Source organism: Homo sapiens, chromosome 5 (assembly GCF_000001405.40).
Source record: "Homo sapiens chromosome 5, GRCh38.p14 Primary Assembly".
Taxonomy (NCBI): domain Eukaryota; kingdom Metazoa; phylum Chordata; class Mammalia; order Primates; family Hominidae; genus Homo; species Homo sapiens.
The window spans coordinates 31,838,796-31,854,789 of record NC_000005.10 but is presented as its reverse complement, the minus strand read 5'-3'; the positions used below and the strand labels follow the sequence as shown (position 1 = coordinate 31,854,789).

Below are 15,994 nucleotides of genomic sequence, written 5' to 3'. Positions count from 1 at the left end.
CCCCTCGCCGGGAAAAGGAAACCGCCCTGGGGAGGATTTCAGGGAGTTTGGGGCTTCTCATCCAGACACCTTTGTTTACACCGAGGGCTCAGGAGCTTCCTGGGGCAAACCTGGAGCAGGTTAGAGGAAAAAGCGCCCTACCCTAGACCCTCGTTTGCACCAAAAGTTCTCCCTCCGAGCCATTGCAAGAAGCTCCACCTTCCCACATCAATTCACTTCATGACCACTCCGTTTCATAATCCGCGGCAGCCTGAGTTCTTACAGGGGTGGAGCCCCCAGCTAAAATCACAACCATCGTATGGGGCAGGATGTCAGGGAACTTTCCAGAAATCCCCGGTCAGAGCCTTTCGGCTGGAGTAACCAAAGTTAACACCGCTGAATTACAATCGCCGGTGACTGCACGACTGAAGCATTTCCTTTATACCTTCTCCCGCTCCCCTACCCCTCCCACCTTCTGTGGGGTTCAGTCAACAAGCCCTCCCCCAGGAGGCCTGAGTGGGCCTGGGCCCTGCAGCCATCGCTCCAGCTGCAAACTGATGAGGAAGCCCGACCCACGAGGCCGAATTGTTTACATCACACCCACTGAGGCTTCCTGTCTTAAATTAATGGGAACACAAATAAGACAGGAAAAGAGTGTTTGCTTTTCTTAAAGCAGGGGAGGGGGGCTGGCAGCGGGAGGGGGAGTCACCCCACATTTCATTGCTTTTCAAAACTTCAGCTGTATTCTCTTCCATTTTTCCACTCCTGACACTTGTTGAAAAGTAAAAGCGTCACTGGTGCCAAACCTCAAGCCTTTATGGAACGTCTGCTCAAAACACATTTCACCTGGCTTCAAAAGGCACCCAGGGTGGAGCTCCCAGGGACCTGAGCTAGAGGAATGGAGAGCTCCTGAGGTTGATGGCACCAATCTCAGTGCAAACAAACTCACTCAAGCCCTGGGCCTCCCTCCCGGGACTTGCACAGGCAGGCACACACTCCACTCCTTGGGGTTCAGGTTAAGTCACACCCCAGTCCCACTCCACCCCTCTGGCTCTAAGCTCTGGTTGTGGGCATCCAGCAGCCCCTAAAAGTAAATGAGCTTTGCAACGGACAGATCTGGTGGAATTCGAAGCAATTAATTATAATGGAGGAGGCAAAAGAAAGCTTCAATTCCAGTACCATTACTGCCACCGGAATGGGTAATTAAAGCCCAGGAGGGGCCAACCCATGTCAAGCCTGGGCTGGAAATCTGCCCACTCTCAGAAGCAGCCCCAGAGCACATAGTAAATAATTATCATCATTACCAGTCCTGGAATTACCCCTAGTTGCTTCATTCAGGTGGGCACAACAGCCAACCCAGAAACAGGCAAGGAGTGTCAGGTCATGGTATTCCTCCTTCGGAAGAACCAAAAGGAAACAGAACCCCAGGATAAGATTTATTTCAAGAAGTTTTGGGTACTGCAACCAACAATACCTCATGGAGTTTAGGAGAACACTACATGTGCCCAGTGAGAACAAGCTTTGTAGACCAGTCCTCCAAACATCGCAATTCCTGGGTCAAAGCAAATTAGGCTGATGATTTCAGAAAAAACCAAGGGTATTAGAATTCTCTAACACAAAGTGTCTGGCTTACACATATTATAAGGGTCTCAGTGAATGCTGGCTCCACCCCCTTCCCTTTTCCCACTCTTCTGCCAGGAAGTGGTAGTCTTTCATTAGCATCCTATAAGTTTTATGGGAATTAAGTTCAAATTGAATAATTTTCTAATAATAATTTGAGAAGTGCTCCTTTGCTTCCTTTCTGAGTGTTTTTTCCACAACAGTTTCCCAATGTTTTAGCTTCTTTCTCCACTCCTTCAATCCAGGTACATAATTGATGATGTGTACATCAATGCTGTTTAAAGTAAATGTATGGGCCAGGCGCAGTGGCTCACGCCTGTAATCCCAACACTTTGGGAGGTCGAGGTGGGTGGATCACTTTTGGTCAGGAGTTCGAGACCAGCCTGACCAACATGGTGAAACCCCATCTCTGCTAAAAATACAAAAATTAGCTGAGTGTGGTGGTGGGCACCTGTAATCCCAGCTACTTGGGAGGCTGAGGCAGGAGAATTGCTTAAACCCGGAAGGCAGAGGTTGCAGTGAGCCGAGATCCCATCACTGCACTCCAGCCTGGGCTACAGAGTGAGACTCCAACTCAAAAACATAAAATAAATACATAATAAAGTCCAGGCACGTGGTGGCTCATGCCTGTAATCCTAGCACTTTGGGAGGCCAAGGTAGTTGGATCACTTGAGGTCAGAAGTTTGAGAGCAGCCTGGCCAACATGGTGAAACCCCATCTCTATTAAAAATACAAAAATCAGCCAGGCGTGATGGCACGCGCCTGTGGTCCCAGCTACTCTACTTGGGAGGCTGAGGAAAGAGAATAGCTTGAACCCAGGAGGTAGAGGTTGCAGTGAGCCCGGACTGCGCCACTGCACTCCAGCCTGGGCGACACAGCAATGCTCAGTCTCAAAAATAAATAAAATAAATAAATAATAAAAATAAATGTATGGTTTTAAGTATAATGCAAAGAAATATTCTGCCCCCATCCTCATCTTTGTTGCCTCAGCTCAGTCTGGGGCACGTAAGTGCTGGGAATTGAAAATGGGACCACACGGCAGACACGGTGGCTCACGCCTGTGATTCCAGCACTTTGGGAGGCCGAGGCAGGCGGATCACGAGGTCAGGAGCTCAAGACCAGCCTGCCCAACATGGTGAAACCCCGTCTCTACTGAAAACATAAAAATTAGCCAGGTGTGGTGGTGGGTACTTGTAATCCCAGCTACTCAGGAGGCTGAGGCACGAGAATCACTTCAACCCAGGAGGCGGAGGTTGCAGTGAGCCGAGATCCCACCACTGCACTTCAGCCTGGGCAAGAGAGCAAGACTCTATCTCAGGGGAAAAAAAAAAATGTGACCACATCTGCCTAATACCTTAATTTCAGGAAAGCTTTTGCATCCATATGCCATTCTCATCAGCAGGCCAGAAAGATATGATCTGGTGCGTCTTTTCCCTAACTGAGGTTTCACTGCTGACTGGAAAAGAGATCAATGGCCCAGTAAACAAAGGGGTGCTTAGCATGTGGTCTACGATTTTGTCTTGGGTCTGGTTTAAATAATACTTGAAATTGCTATATGCATACCCAGAGTCTACAAATAACATTAATTTGAGTGGGAACTGCTGATACGTTAACAGAATCCAAAGTAGCTTCCACACATTAAGGAAATGGTTCATTAAAAACAGTTTAGAGTTCAGCATGATGGCTGATTTCAAAGTGGTATCCTCAGGGGTGATGATCAAAATGACAGGCACAAATGGGGCTTAATGTCTAGATTCAAGAAAAACTGACAAAGAGGTGAGGATCACAGCAGATCATGCATTTAATAGGAATCTGCATATTGCACTGATAAGAAATAGGCAATGCAGTGCTGGGGTGAATTCACGCTGGTGGGAGTTTGACAGGAAAAGGAAGTGCCCCCCTTCTCCCTACCCCATAATAAAGAATTTGACAGCAGACAGACTCTTACTGGTGGGTTGTGGGGGGTGGGGGTATGTCCAATCTGATGCCTCTTATTTTAAGGAAGATGTGGAGACACTGGAAAGGTTCCAAAGGAGAACCTAAATGATTAAAGAGACAGAAAATAGAACTTATGAGGGGAAGTTAAAGGATTTGGAGTTGTTTAGTCTAGAGTGAAAAAAAAGTGCCTAAAGGCAAACTTAACAGCCTTTTCCTACTTGAAGGGTTATTATAAAGAGGATACCGACCAGCTGTTCATCATCTCTACAGAGGACATAAGAGGTAAGAGACTCAAAATACAACTTTAGAATTTGGGAGGCCAGGCACAGTGGCTCACACCTGTAATCCTAGCACTTTGGAAGACCAAGGCGGGTGGAACACGAGGTCAGGAGATCAAGACCATCCTGGCTAACACGGCGAAACTCCGTCTCTACTAAAAATACAAAAAATTAGCCAGGCATGGTGGCATGCACCTGTAGTCCCAGCTACTCGGGAGGCTGAGACAGAAGAATCGCTTGAACCCAGGAGGCGGAGGTTGCAGTGAGACGAGATGGCGCCACTGTACTCCAGCCTGGGTGAAAGAGCAAGACTCCGTCTCAAAAAAAAAAAAAAAAAAAAGAATTTGGGTACAATGTAAAGACGACTTGCTTAATGCTAATGGTAACTGACTTCACCTTAGAATAGTCTCATCTGATAACACTGTGCAATCTCCATCTATCAGACTCCATCCTAAGTGATAGTTTTGCATGTTTAAGCAGAAGTGAGGCTAGAAAACGCCTTCTATTCCCTTCTAGAACTATAGCGTTCCACTGTTATTCCATCATATGTGGGAGTAAAGATCCTGAACCCCTGTGTTCCCTAACTCACAAACAAGGTGCCATGAGAATGTAATGTTCTCTCAAAACATCGGACCTTTGTTTTCCTTATTGGGATGGGCATCGCTAAAAATATGCCCAACTGTGGACATTAACTAGATGATAAGTATATATATGTGTGTGTGTGTGTGTGTATATATATATATATATACTTATATATATACACATATATACTTATATATACATATATACTTATATATATACTTATATATACATATATACACATATATACTTATATATATACACACACATATATACACGTATATATACTTATATATACACGTATATATACTTATATATACACATATATATACTTATATATACACGTATATATATATACGTGTATATATGAGTATATACGTGTGTGTGTATATATATATATGTGTATATATATATATGTATATATATATATGTGTATATATATATATGTATATATATATATGTGTATATATATATATGTATATATATATATGTATATATATATATGTGTATATATATATATATATGTATATATATATGAGAGAGAGAGAGAGAGAGATGGAGTCTCACTCCATCACCCAAGTTGGAGGGCAGTGGCGCAATCTCGGCTTACTGCAACCTCTGCCTCCCGGGTTCAAGCAATTCTCCTGCCTCAGCCTCCATAGTAGCTGGGATTACAGGCGCACGCCACCACACCTGGCTAATTTTTGTATTTTTAATAGAGACAGAGTTTCACCATGTTGGTCAGGCAGATCTCGAACTCCTGACCTCAAGTAATCCACCCACCTCCGCCTCCCAAAGTGCTAGGATTACAGGCGTGAGCCACCTCGCCCAGCCTGGTAAGTGTATTTCATAGCTTCGCTCCTGTTCTGTGTACGGGACGTATTGCTTTTTAATGTGTTTAAATAATTAGTTGATGATGATAATGATAATAATAGCTATGACTTATTAAGCTCTTACTATAATTATATTGGGCACTGTGCTAAGTACTTTATTTAGATTATCTCATTTTTTTGCAGTAGCCCTGTGAAGTGGGTATAATTATTAGTCTTATTCTAACACAAGGAAACTGAGTCACAAAGAGGTTAAGTAACACGGCTAATAAATGCTGGAGTCCTAATTCAAACCCATTTGGTCTGACTCAAAAGGGTGTGCGTAATCATTACACCACTGCCTCTTATCATTAGGTATTTTTAGCTATTCAGAGGGAGGAAACACTGCAAAAAGAAGCATTCATGCTTATTGGCCAAACTGACTGAAAAGCAAGCTGTACACAGGTTTACATTGCCTGGGGAAATAATCATCTTTTCCCAGCAAAACAGAGGAAAGGAAGGACCAAGTTCATTTTCTGAGATGGAGTCTCGCTCTGTCGCCCAGGCTGGAGTGCAGTGGCAAGATCTCGGCTCACTGCAAGCTCCACCTCCTGGGTTCACGCCATTCTCCTGCCTCAGCCTCCCTAGTACCTGGGACTACAGGCGCCTGCCACCACGCCTGGCTAATTTTTTGTATTTTTAGTAGAGACGGGGTTTCACCGTGTTAGCCAGGATGTTCTCAATCTCCTGATCTCGTGATCTGCCCACCTAGACCTCCCAAAGTGCTGGGATTACAGGTGTGAGCCACCGTGCCCGGCCCATTTTCTTTTTTCTTTTTTTTTGACAGTCTCACTCTGTCGCCCAGGCTGGAGTGCAATGGCACGATCTTGGCTCACTGCAACCTCTGCCTCCCGGGTTCAAGCAATTCTCCTGCCACAGCCTCCTGAGTAGCTGGGATTACAGGTGCCCACCACCACACCTGGCTGGTTTTTGTATTTTTAGTAGAGACGGGGTTTCACCATGTTGGCCAGGCTGGTCTCAAACTCCTGACCTCAGGTGATCTGCCCACCTCAGCCTCCCAAAGTGCTGGGATTACAGGCGTGAGCCACGGCGCCAGGCCCCAAGTTCACTTTCTGATAGGGAGGGTGCATTGCTATCTCCCACAAAGCTGAAGAATTCAAATCAAGGTTCACCTTTATACATTTAATTATTCAGCTGTAATCTAACTTTGCATATAGTAGGTTTGACTGTGGAATGAATGAATACAAATGCTTCTTGACTGTGATGCCTTAAGACACATGAACTGAAATGAGGTTTTCCAGCATGGTGGTCAAGGCTCTGGTCGGTCATTTCCTGTTTCCTTTTCTTCAGCTGCTTAGTAAATAAGTTGATTGTCTTTATCTGAAAAATCTTCATAGAAAATTGTTTGGTTTAGGTCTTAGTAGCCCGCTCCTGAGCTCTGAGGAAGCTTGCCTACTTTTGAGCTACCTGATCTTTCTTCTGGGCAAGGGACATTTTGGGATAGTTCCACCTCTGCTTTTCAACTTCTTTCTTAGGCTTCTTCTCATAGATTGGATTCTCTTGCATAGCAGCATGAGCCTTCTTATACATCCCCATCATGTCTGGAGTTATGCTGTTCTTTATGTATTGAGAGAATGGTTTCTGGTAAGCATCTTCATCTTCCATTAGGTAACGCATGTAATCTGCAACATTCTGACACGTGATGTGCTTCCAATGCATTAACTTCTGCATTAAGTTCCTTGCTTTCAGAATCATAACCAGGGAATCGTCTGGTACTGCAAGGGATAGACAAGCCTCCATTCACAGCTTCCTTCAGGGCCTCCAAAACTGTATTGTCAGTGGTAGTTCTGGCAAGGCCTGCATCCAAATAGCAGGTAAAGGCACCGGGCTGGCCATCAATGCTTTCCACATTGTATTCATCTCCAGTCACCACCACTTGGCATTCCTAGATCTTGCCCATGCCAAACCTACTGAAAAGCCTCCGAGCCAGCAGCAGGCCAGTACAATATGCTGCAGCAGAATTTGTCAGCCAACCTTCACACCAAATTTTGGCAGTGTGTGCATAAGCTGTGCAGACTATCATATCCCCTTCTACATGGGCATACGCAATCTGACAAATGATATCTCTGTTACGCGAACTCTCATCCTGTATTTGGGTGTGTTGTACTTATTTTTATCCTCTATCACCAAGCGTTTCTTAGCATAGTAATCGGTTTTACCCTCTTGTCGTCTTCTAAATTTCATTTTGTATCTTTTAAAGTAGGCCTTATTCCTGACAACTTTAACAAACCCCACCCTACAGAACAGAGACTCATGTCACAGCTCAGCACAGACCTCTGGCTTGTCATTTCTGTGGGCTTCTTATCAGATGTCCCCAAAGAGCCTTACAATAATCCAATGTTTCCTTCAATTCAGTATCTATGAGACAGCATATGGATGGGTCACATATTTCCCCAATGTCAACTACTTTTAGATCAAGACAAGATTTTTAACGAGGTTTATTGAGTGCTGTTGTATATCAACAATAGATGATTCATGAGTGAAACAGACAGCAAAATGATTTTTAGAAAGGCAAGTGAACCAGACACAAACAAAAAATAAAAAGCCTTGATCCAAATTACTCTAAAGGACAGATATTTTCCCATTAGGACAATTTATCCTAAATCTGTAAACAGAGAGGGGCATAATTATACAAGTGTTTGCTAACAGATCTAAACCTTATGCAGCTGTAAAAAGCTGAAGAAAGGAAGAAAGCGGAAATTCCCAGGAGAAGATCCCCGACCACATCCAGGGCCACCAGCTCTCCACAAACACAAGGCCCAGCAGTGGCACCAAGCAAAGCATGAGAAGAAACCTCAGGATTCTGACACAATCCACAAATATAACTTTGAATTGTCCTGAAACTAAACAATGACAATTCTATCCAATCAACTTTCAGCTGACACACAGACGGGGTGGTGACTTATTGGTGTTCCAGATGTAGTTAATGGAAACATGATGCCCAGAATTAAAAAGGTATTCAGTAAATGTTGATTGAATGGATGGATGAGTGAATGACGTCTGAACAGATGCCCATGTCTCTTTCCCTCTTCGCAGCTCTGTTGGGAAGATGTCCTCAATGCTTCAAACCTGGCCAGGCGTGGTGGCTCACGCCTCTAATCCCAGCACTTTGGGAGGCCGAGGTGGGCAGATCACCTGAAGTCAGGAGTTCAAGACCAGCCTGGCCAACATGGTGAAACCTTGTCTCTACTAAAAATACAAAAAATTAGCTGGGTGCAGTGGTGCACGCCTGTAATCCCAGCTACTCGGGAGGCTGAGGCAGGAGAATCACTTGAACCCGGGATGCGGAGGTTGCAGTGAGGCGAGATTGCGCCACTGCACTCAAGCCTGGGCAACAGAGTGAGACTCCGTCTCAAAGAAAAAAACCAACCAACCAAACAAACAAAATGCTTCAAACCCAAAGCCACCACAGAGGGGCTGAACCATTTGACATAGTTCCCCAGGAACAGAACAGTTCATGGAACCGGAGAATGGTTTCTGATCCAAAGATATACTAATTTGTGATCTTCCAGTGCACACAGGAAGGGGGATTGTGGTGCCTCTGGAACATCTTTGCAGGTCTTGATTCAAAAGCTGCCATTATTTACAATATAGATTCTAAACTCTATTTGAAGTCCAACAGAACCAAGTACTAAGTAGCTAGCATGTATTGAACACATACAGGATGCCAAGACCTGTTGTAAGCCTTTTATGTATTAGGTCATTAAATCCCTATTACAATCTTAGAATATGTACTATTATTACAGCAACCCATTTTACAGGCAATGAAACTGGACAAGATTATCTAAGTAGCTCATGGTCACACAACTAATAAGTAGAGGAGCTGGATCTGAGAGTCTACCTGGAACCAGTGCTTACTCTTAATTGCTACCCAATGCTATCTGTCCGGATCTTACTTCCTGCCACTTCTCTGCACAAACTCACTGTTTGCCCACAAATATGCAAAGAACATTCTAATCTGTGCAGGACACGTTCCCTGACTTCCCTCCCACTGTTAGCTCTCTCTTCTGAGTGCTCACATCACTCATTCTCCAGGGAACACACTGAAACTTACTTGGTTCACATCACACCTCTCCAGATAGCTCTGAAGTTCCTTTGGTGTTGGAACTGTGTGTTATATGGCAGTGTGGAGACGTAGTGGAATAAGAAAGACCTAGGTTTAAAGTTCAAATCCCATAATGATTATCCGTGAGATTCTGGGTAAGTCATTTGACATTTCCTGTCCTTATATTTAAACCGTCTACCTTAAAGGCTTGTTGAGGAGGAGAGGCTGAGTGTCTAGGATGATGCCTGATATTGTAAGCCAGTGATTCTCAATCAGGTATTTTACACACCCTTCCCCTATCCCCGCAGGGACATTTGGCAATGTCTGGAGATGTTTGATAGTCCGATTGCTTACTGGCATCTGACGGAGAGAGAGAAAGAATTCTTCTCATCTCCCATTCTTCTGACGTGGTAACAATATCTTCTTCCATTTCTACCTTTCACAGTCTCGAAAACATGAATAATTTGTGCTCAGTTGTATATGATAAAAGAAACTTGTTTCTTGTTTAAAGAAACTTGTTCCCACTCACAGAGGTCTTCTGCTTTGACCTATCCCTGAGAACTGGGCATTGGGCAACGTAAACTCAGAAGCAGAAAATCAATTACAGCCATTGCTCACCTCTAGGCGGGGCCCACACCCAGCCCTGCCAGATGGTTTTATAATAGTGAGTGCTGTGTTACCATGAAGGGCCTTCTATAAAGGAGAGTTGAAGCTGGATAGTATCCCAGAGACTGTTCCTTTCCCCAGCAAACCTTCATCTAGCAGGGGCTGGTGCCTTTCCTTACACAGGTTTATACTAACACTGCCAGATAAAATATAGGCGACCCAGTTAAATTTGAATCACAGATGAAAAATGAGTAATTATTTTACTCTAAGTAGATCCCAAAAATCACATGGAATTTTTCATTTGCTAAATCTGACAATCTTATTTTATAACAACCAAGTCCTTACCACTTGGTCTTGACAAAAATCATTTCTATACTCAGTAATACGTAAATATATGGAAAACAAAACATATGCACATTGTTAAAAATCGAGAAGCTTGAAGATATTCCTTTATGGTCTCTGTTTCTCACTCTGATGGACATCTGCTTCCAAGAATAGGTTTCTAATCATTTTCTTTATAGCTGACTTGAAGTCCCTCACCTTTGCCTAACATCTCTCACTCCATTTATAATTATCTTCTCATGATCATTCTTTTTGCATCATTAAGTTCAACCACTTTGACCCTTCTTCTCTTCCCAAGCAATTACCATTCAATTGAGTGTTTCACCTTGACTTGCTCTCTTACAATGATATATCAAAATGTCTCCTCTTTACAAGTCAATGAACCACATTCAGGAAACACTGAATTGAGGGTAGGTAGCTCCCTCAATTCTTCCAAATTGACCTCAAGGATCAGATGCCCCTTCCTAATTATTCCATGTTCTCCAACTCTAGGAAATCCTCCAGAAAAGCAACTTTAGGACTCCAGCCTCAGTTCTGATCTTATCTGGTCCACCACCATTCTCCATCAGCTGAAAAACCTCCTAGTTGGGAAAAGCAAAGGACCAGATAGAACCTTGAATAATTTTCTCACAAATGAAAAACGTGGCTTCCTCTCCAGGCTTTAGGGGACATCTCAAAAGCCACGTTGTTTACATGTGGCGCTGTACAAAGGGCCCACCTCACTTTAACCCCAAGGAGGGTGGAGTTTAGCCCATTTATAAATGCAGTCTGCGGGGAAAGGGTATGAAGGGGAGCTGTGACCCTGTTAGGACTACTTTCCAGTTTACACATGGAGCAGTGTGGGGGAGACTCGGAATCAGGGTAGCAAGCAAGATCTGGTGGAAACTCGGGCAGGCTGGTTAATGTGGAATGAAGGACATGATGATATCAAGAAAAAGTTGTTAATGACTGGACGTGGTGGCTCATGCCTGTAATCCCCAGCACTTAGGGAGGCTAAGGCAGGCGGACACTTGAGGTCAGGAATTTGAGACCAGCCTGGCCAACATGGTGAAACCCCATCTCTACTAAAAAATACAAAAATTAGCCAGACATTGTGGCGGGAACCTGTAATCCCAGCTACTTGGGAGGCTGAGGCAGAGAGCTGCTTGAACTCAGGAGGTGGAGGTTGCAGTGAGCCGAAATTGTGCCACTGCACTCCAGCCTGGGTGACACAGCAAGACTCCATCTAAAAAAAAAAAAAAGAAAGAAAAAGTTGTTGTTAATATGCCCAGGGTGGGAAAACACTTTGAATTACCAGAGTCATGAAGAATGTCATTAAAAACAAGGGTGATAGGCTGGGCACGGTAGCTCACGCCTATAATCCCAGCATTTTGGGAGGCCAAGGCGGGTGGATCACCTGAGGTCAGGAGTTCGAGACCAGCCTGACCAACGTGGTGAAACCCTGTTTCTACTAAAAATACAAAATTAGCCGGGTGTGGTGGTGCATGCCTGTAATCGCAGCTACTCGGGAGGCTGAGACAGGAGAATCACTTGAACCCAGGAGGCAGAGGTGGCAGTGAGCCAAGATCGCACCATTGCACTCCAGCCTGGGCAACAAAAGCAAAACTCCATCTCAAAAAAGAAAAAAGAAAAAACAAAACAACAACAACAAAAAACATGGGTGGTAAAAAAACAAAAACTTTCATTATTATTGGTTTATAGTAACTAGTAATGAAAGTATTAGTAATTAGTCATAAAAGTATCAGTACATAGTCACAAAAGACTTCTATAACTTCTTAAACTCCTGTCACATTGTTAGTATTATCATCACTTTTATCTGGCTATCACTTCATCCCACAAAGAAGGAATGATAGATATTATTTTACCCACTCCGCAAGCAATGAAACTGTGAAAAGGATATGGGAACTTCCAGGAACCCAGGTTTCTTGACTTCTGGTCCAGGGGCCTTCCCTGCCTAGCAGATAGCAGTTGCTCTATTAGGAACCAGCCAGATTCGAGCCAGGAAACTGCTTTCAGACTTAACCCAGTGCCTTTGGAAGGCTGTGTGGTTGACTGGGGATGGGCTGTGTCAGAATGAGCGGCCGGGTGAGAAGAACAGAGCCGTGGAGCCAGGAGGCCTGGATTTAGATCTCAGCCCTCCTTTACCAGCCTGGATTCTCTCGTCTGTAACTGGGGATAATGACAATTACCTCGCAGAGGTGTTGTGAGCTAGAATGAACTGGCACATAACTGTAAGTGTGCATAAACATTATATTAACAATGACTGTAATTGTAGGTTCAGGATTCTAACTTGAAGAGTTCAAATATATGCAAATCCCCGCTAAGACAGGGATGAAATGGAGGAGAACTGGTAGTTTTTCAAAGCTACAAAAAGGCTTATCAAGCTATATGTGTTTTTAAAGTGACAAGAGAAAGTTACAAATTAACGGCTCACCTTCATTAAGTGTTCATGGGGTGTCAGTACTTGTAATAAGCCTTCACATGCAGATCCTCATTTAATCTTTCATCGCCTTAGGAGTTAGGTATTATTCTTTTTTTTTTTGAGATGGAGTCTTGCTCTGTTACCCAGGCTGGAGTGCAATGGCATGATCTCGGCTTACTGCAACCTCCACCTCCCAGGTTCAAGCGATTCTCCTGCCTCAGCCTCCCGAGTAGCTGGGACTACAGGCATGCGCCACCATACCTGGCTAATTTTTGTATTTTTAGTAGAGATGGGGTTTCACCATATTGGCTAGGCTGGTCTCGAACTCCTGACCTCATGATCGGCCTGCCTCAGCCTCCTAAAGTGCTGGGATTACAGGTGTGAGCCACCGCACCTAGCCAGGTATTGTTCTTTTTTTTTGAGACAAGTCTCACTCTGTCGCCAGGCTGGAGTGCAGTGGTGCAATTTTGGCTCACTGCAACCTCCGCCTCCTGGATTCAAGTGATTCTCCTGTCTCAACCTCCAGAGTAGCTGGGACTACAGGCGCCCGCCACCATGTCTGGCTAATTTTTGTATTTTCAGTTGAGACGGGGTTTCACCATGTTAGCCAGGATGGTCTCGATCTCTTGATCTCGTGATCTGCCCACCTGGGCCTCCCAAAGTGCTGGGATTTCAAGTGTGAGCCACCATGCCTGGCTGAGTATTGTTCTTAATTCCATTTTACAGTTAGGGAAAGCCTGGCTTAGTGGGGTTAAGAAATAACCCAAGGTCACACATTTGGTAAGTGGTAGAATCAGGACTCATTAAGTTCATACCCACAGATGTGTGTAGCCCACGCATTCTTGTAGATGTGTGTGTTTATGTGTGTGTGTGTGTGTGTGTACACATGTGCACAGAGAAAGTTCAGGACAAAATAGACCAGATATTAGTAATATCCCACCACTGGATGATGGGATGACAAGTAATATTTACTTTCTTCTTTATGCCTTACTGAACTCAGTAGTAGTGCTTTTATAATTTAAATGTTTTTCCTTTTGATAACATACTTTAAAACGTAAACCAAAATGAGGCTTCAAAAATATAATGAGTGGAACCGCCATCCTCCAGTAATTCGCCAAAATGAGAAACACAAAGAGAAAGAGGAGAGACACCCAGTATGTTCTCCAGGCCTTTAAGAAAACATGGAGTTATTCCTTTGTCCATGTATATGTGAATCTATAAGAAAGGTGATATTGTAGACATCAAGGGAATGGGTACTGTTCAAAAAGGAACGCCCCACAGGTGTCACCATGGCAAAACGGGAAGAGTCTACAATGTTCCCCAGCATGCTGTTGGCATTGTTGTAAACAAACAAGTTAAGGGCAAGATTCTTGCCAAGAGAATTAATGTGCATATTGAGCACATTAAGCACTCTAAGAGCCAAGACAGCTTCCTGAAACGCGTGAGGAAAATGATCAGAAAAAGAAAGAAGCCTATCAGAAAGGTACCTGGGTTCAACTGAAGTGCCAGCCTGCTCCACGCAGAGAAGCACATTTTGTGAGAACCAGTGGGAAGGAGCCTGAGCTGCTGGAACCCATTCCCTATGAATTCATGGCAAAATAGCTACTGTTAAAAAAAAAAAGACCTCTGGACTATAAACAAATATATATATATATATATATATATATATATATATATATATATATATATATATAATGAAAATGACTACTCTTTGAATGAGTGTGGGGGATAGGAGATATAAATAGCATTTGCAAGGCCCATTGTAATTAAACTTTCAGGTTTCTTCCCCCCCAGTCAAAGAAACCTTCAGAATAAAATGAGGTGGTTTTTTTGTTTTGTTTTGTTTTGTTTTGTTTTGTTTTGAAACAGGGTCTCACCCAGGCTCGAGTGCATTGGCATGATCACGGCTCACCGCAGTCTCAAGCTGCCTGCTTCCCTGGGCTCAGGTGATCCTCACACCTCAGCATTCTGAGTAGCTGGGAGTACAGGTGCATGCCACCATGCCTGGCTAATTTCTGTATTTTTTGGTAGATACAGGGTTTACTAGTCCATTCTCTGCTGCTTTAAAGAACTGCCTGGGACTGGGTAGTTTATAAAGGGAAGAGGTTTAATTGGCTCACAGTTCCACGTGGCTGGGGAGGCCACAGGAAACTTAACAATCATGGCAGAAGGGGAAGCAAACGTGTCCTTCTTCACATGATGGCAGGAAGGAGAAGTGCTGAGCAAAGAGGGAAAAGCCCCTTGTAAAACCATCAGATCTTGTGAGAACTCACTGTCATGAGAACAGCAGCATGAGGTTAACTGCCCCCATTATTCAATTACCTCCAACCAGGTCCCTCCCACTCCGCATGGGGATTATAGGAACTGCAATTCAAGATGAGATTTGGGTGGGGACAGAGCCAAACCACATCATGGGGTTTTGCCATGTTGCTCAGACTGGTCTTGAACCTGTAATGCTCAAGCGATCTGCCCACCTCAGCCTACCAAAGTGCTGGGATTACAGTCGTGGGCCACCATGTCCAGCCCAAGCTTCTTGAAAATAAAGATTATATTCCATCTCCCTTCTACCTAAAACCTCAGGTTTCTGTCTCTTAGGCAGATCTCAGTTCTAAACCTTAAATGTGCTCATGAACCAAATATTTGCCAGTTATTTATTCTATAATAACACCAATGAGTTCTTAAAATCTGTTTTTTTTTCTTTTACCACATTTTCCCTTGACATGATTATTTATAACTTATGTGCAAACTCCTTTCTCTTCTGTGGTCATTACAGAGGATAAAATGATAAATATCACTAAAGCAAACATTCTTCTTACTGTTTGCTTTGAACTCCGAAGTCTTCTTCAAGGAGCACTACAAAGATAAATTAAGATTTTGCACCCCCTGTCAACAAAACTTGTCTTCAAAGATGACCTCTGGAGGGGAGTAAAAGAATTGAAAGCAAACTGAAGGAACTCAAAAGCGATGACCTTTTCCTGTCTTTCTGCAGTTAACAACAATGCAGGGATGGCAGGAGAGGGCAACCTGTACGCAGAACAGGCACCCAAATCTCTTTCTGGTGAGAGCTTCTGGGGTCCCTGCAGGACAGATGATCTGGAGGGCAGGAGGGACACGTGCTGAGATGCCACATGGGAGAATAGGGGATGCAGAGGCTGAGCCCTCTCTCCCAACCCATTAGAGAGACTTCAGATGATGAAGATGAAGAAACTCTCACAACAGGATTGATGTGGAGGTCAGCTAAGCCAGGTGTCCAGAATGTGTTCACAGACCTGGCCTCTTGGGAATGCCCCAGACC

The 15,994-nt window shown here is 43.9% G+C and overlaps 1 protein-coding gene and 2 pseudogenes across 6 annotated transcripts in view, besides 2 other annotated features; 1 reads left to right on the top strand and 2 right to left on the bottom strand.

Moving 5' to 3' along the window:
• PDZD2 (PDZ domain containing 2) overlaps nucleotides 1-15,994 on the bottom strand; it is a 471,802-nt gene that overhangs the window by 256,143 nt on the left and 199,665 nt on the right. The gene's annotated exons all lie outside the window — the stretch shown is intronic.
• Nucleotides 114-786: an enhancer, noted in NCBI's record as "H3K27ac-H3K4me1 hESC enhancer chr5:31854110-31854782 (GRCh37/hg19 assembly coordinates)". NCBI's record gives its function as "activates a minimal SCP1, AML or CMV promoter by ChIP-STARR-seq in primed H9 embryonic stem cells {active_cell/tissue: H9 hESC(primed)}" and the evidence as "EXISTENCE:reporter gene assay evidence [ECO:0000049][PMID:30033119]".
• Nucleotides 787-1,460: an enhancer, noted in NCBI's record as "H3K4me1 hESC enhancer chr5:31853436-31854109 (GRCh37/hg19 assembly coordinates)". NCBI's record gives its function as "activates a minimal SCP1, AML or CMV promoter by ChIP-STARR-seq in naive H9 embryonic stem cells {active_cell/tissue: H9 hESC(naive)}" and the evidence as "EXISTENCE:reporter gene assay evidence [ECO:0000049][PMID:30033119]".
• RPL5P14 (ribosomal protein L5 pseudogene 14) lies at nucleotides 6,573-7,560 on the bottom strand (annotated as a pseudogene).
• On the top strand, nucleotides 13,789-14,333 carry RPL21P56 (ribosomal protein L21 pseudogene 56; annotated as a pseudogene).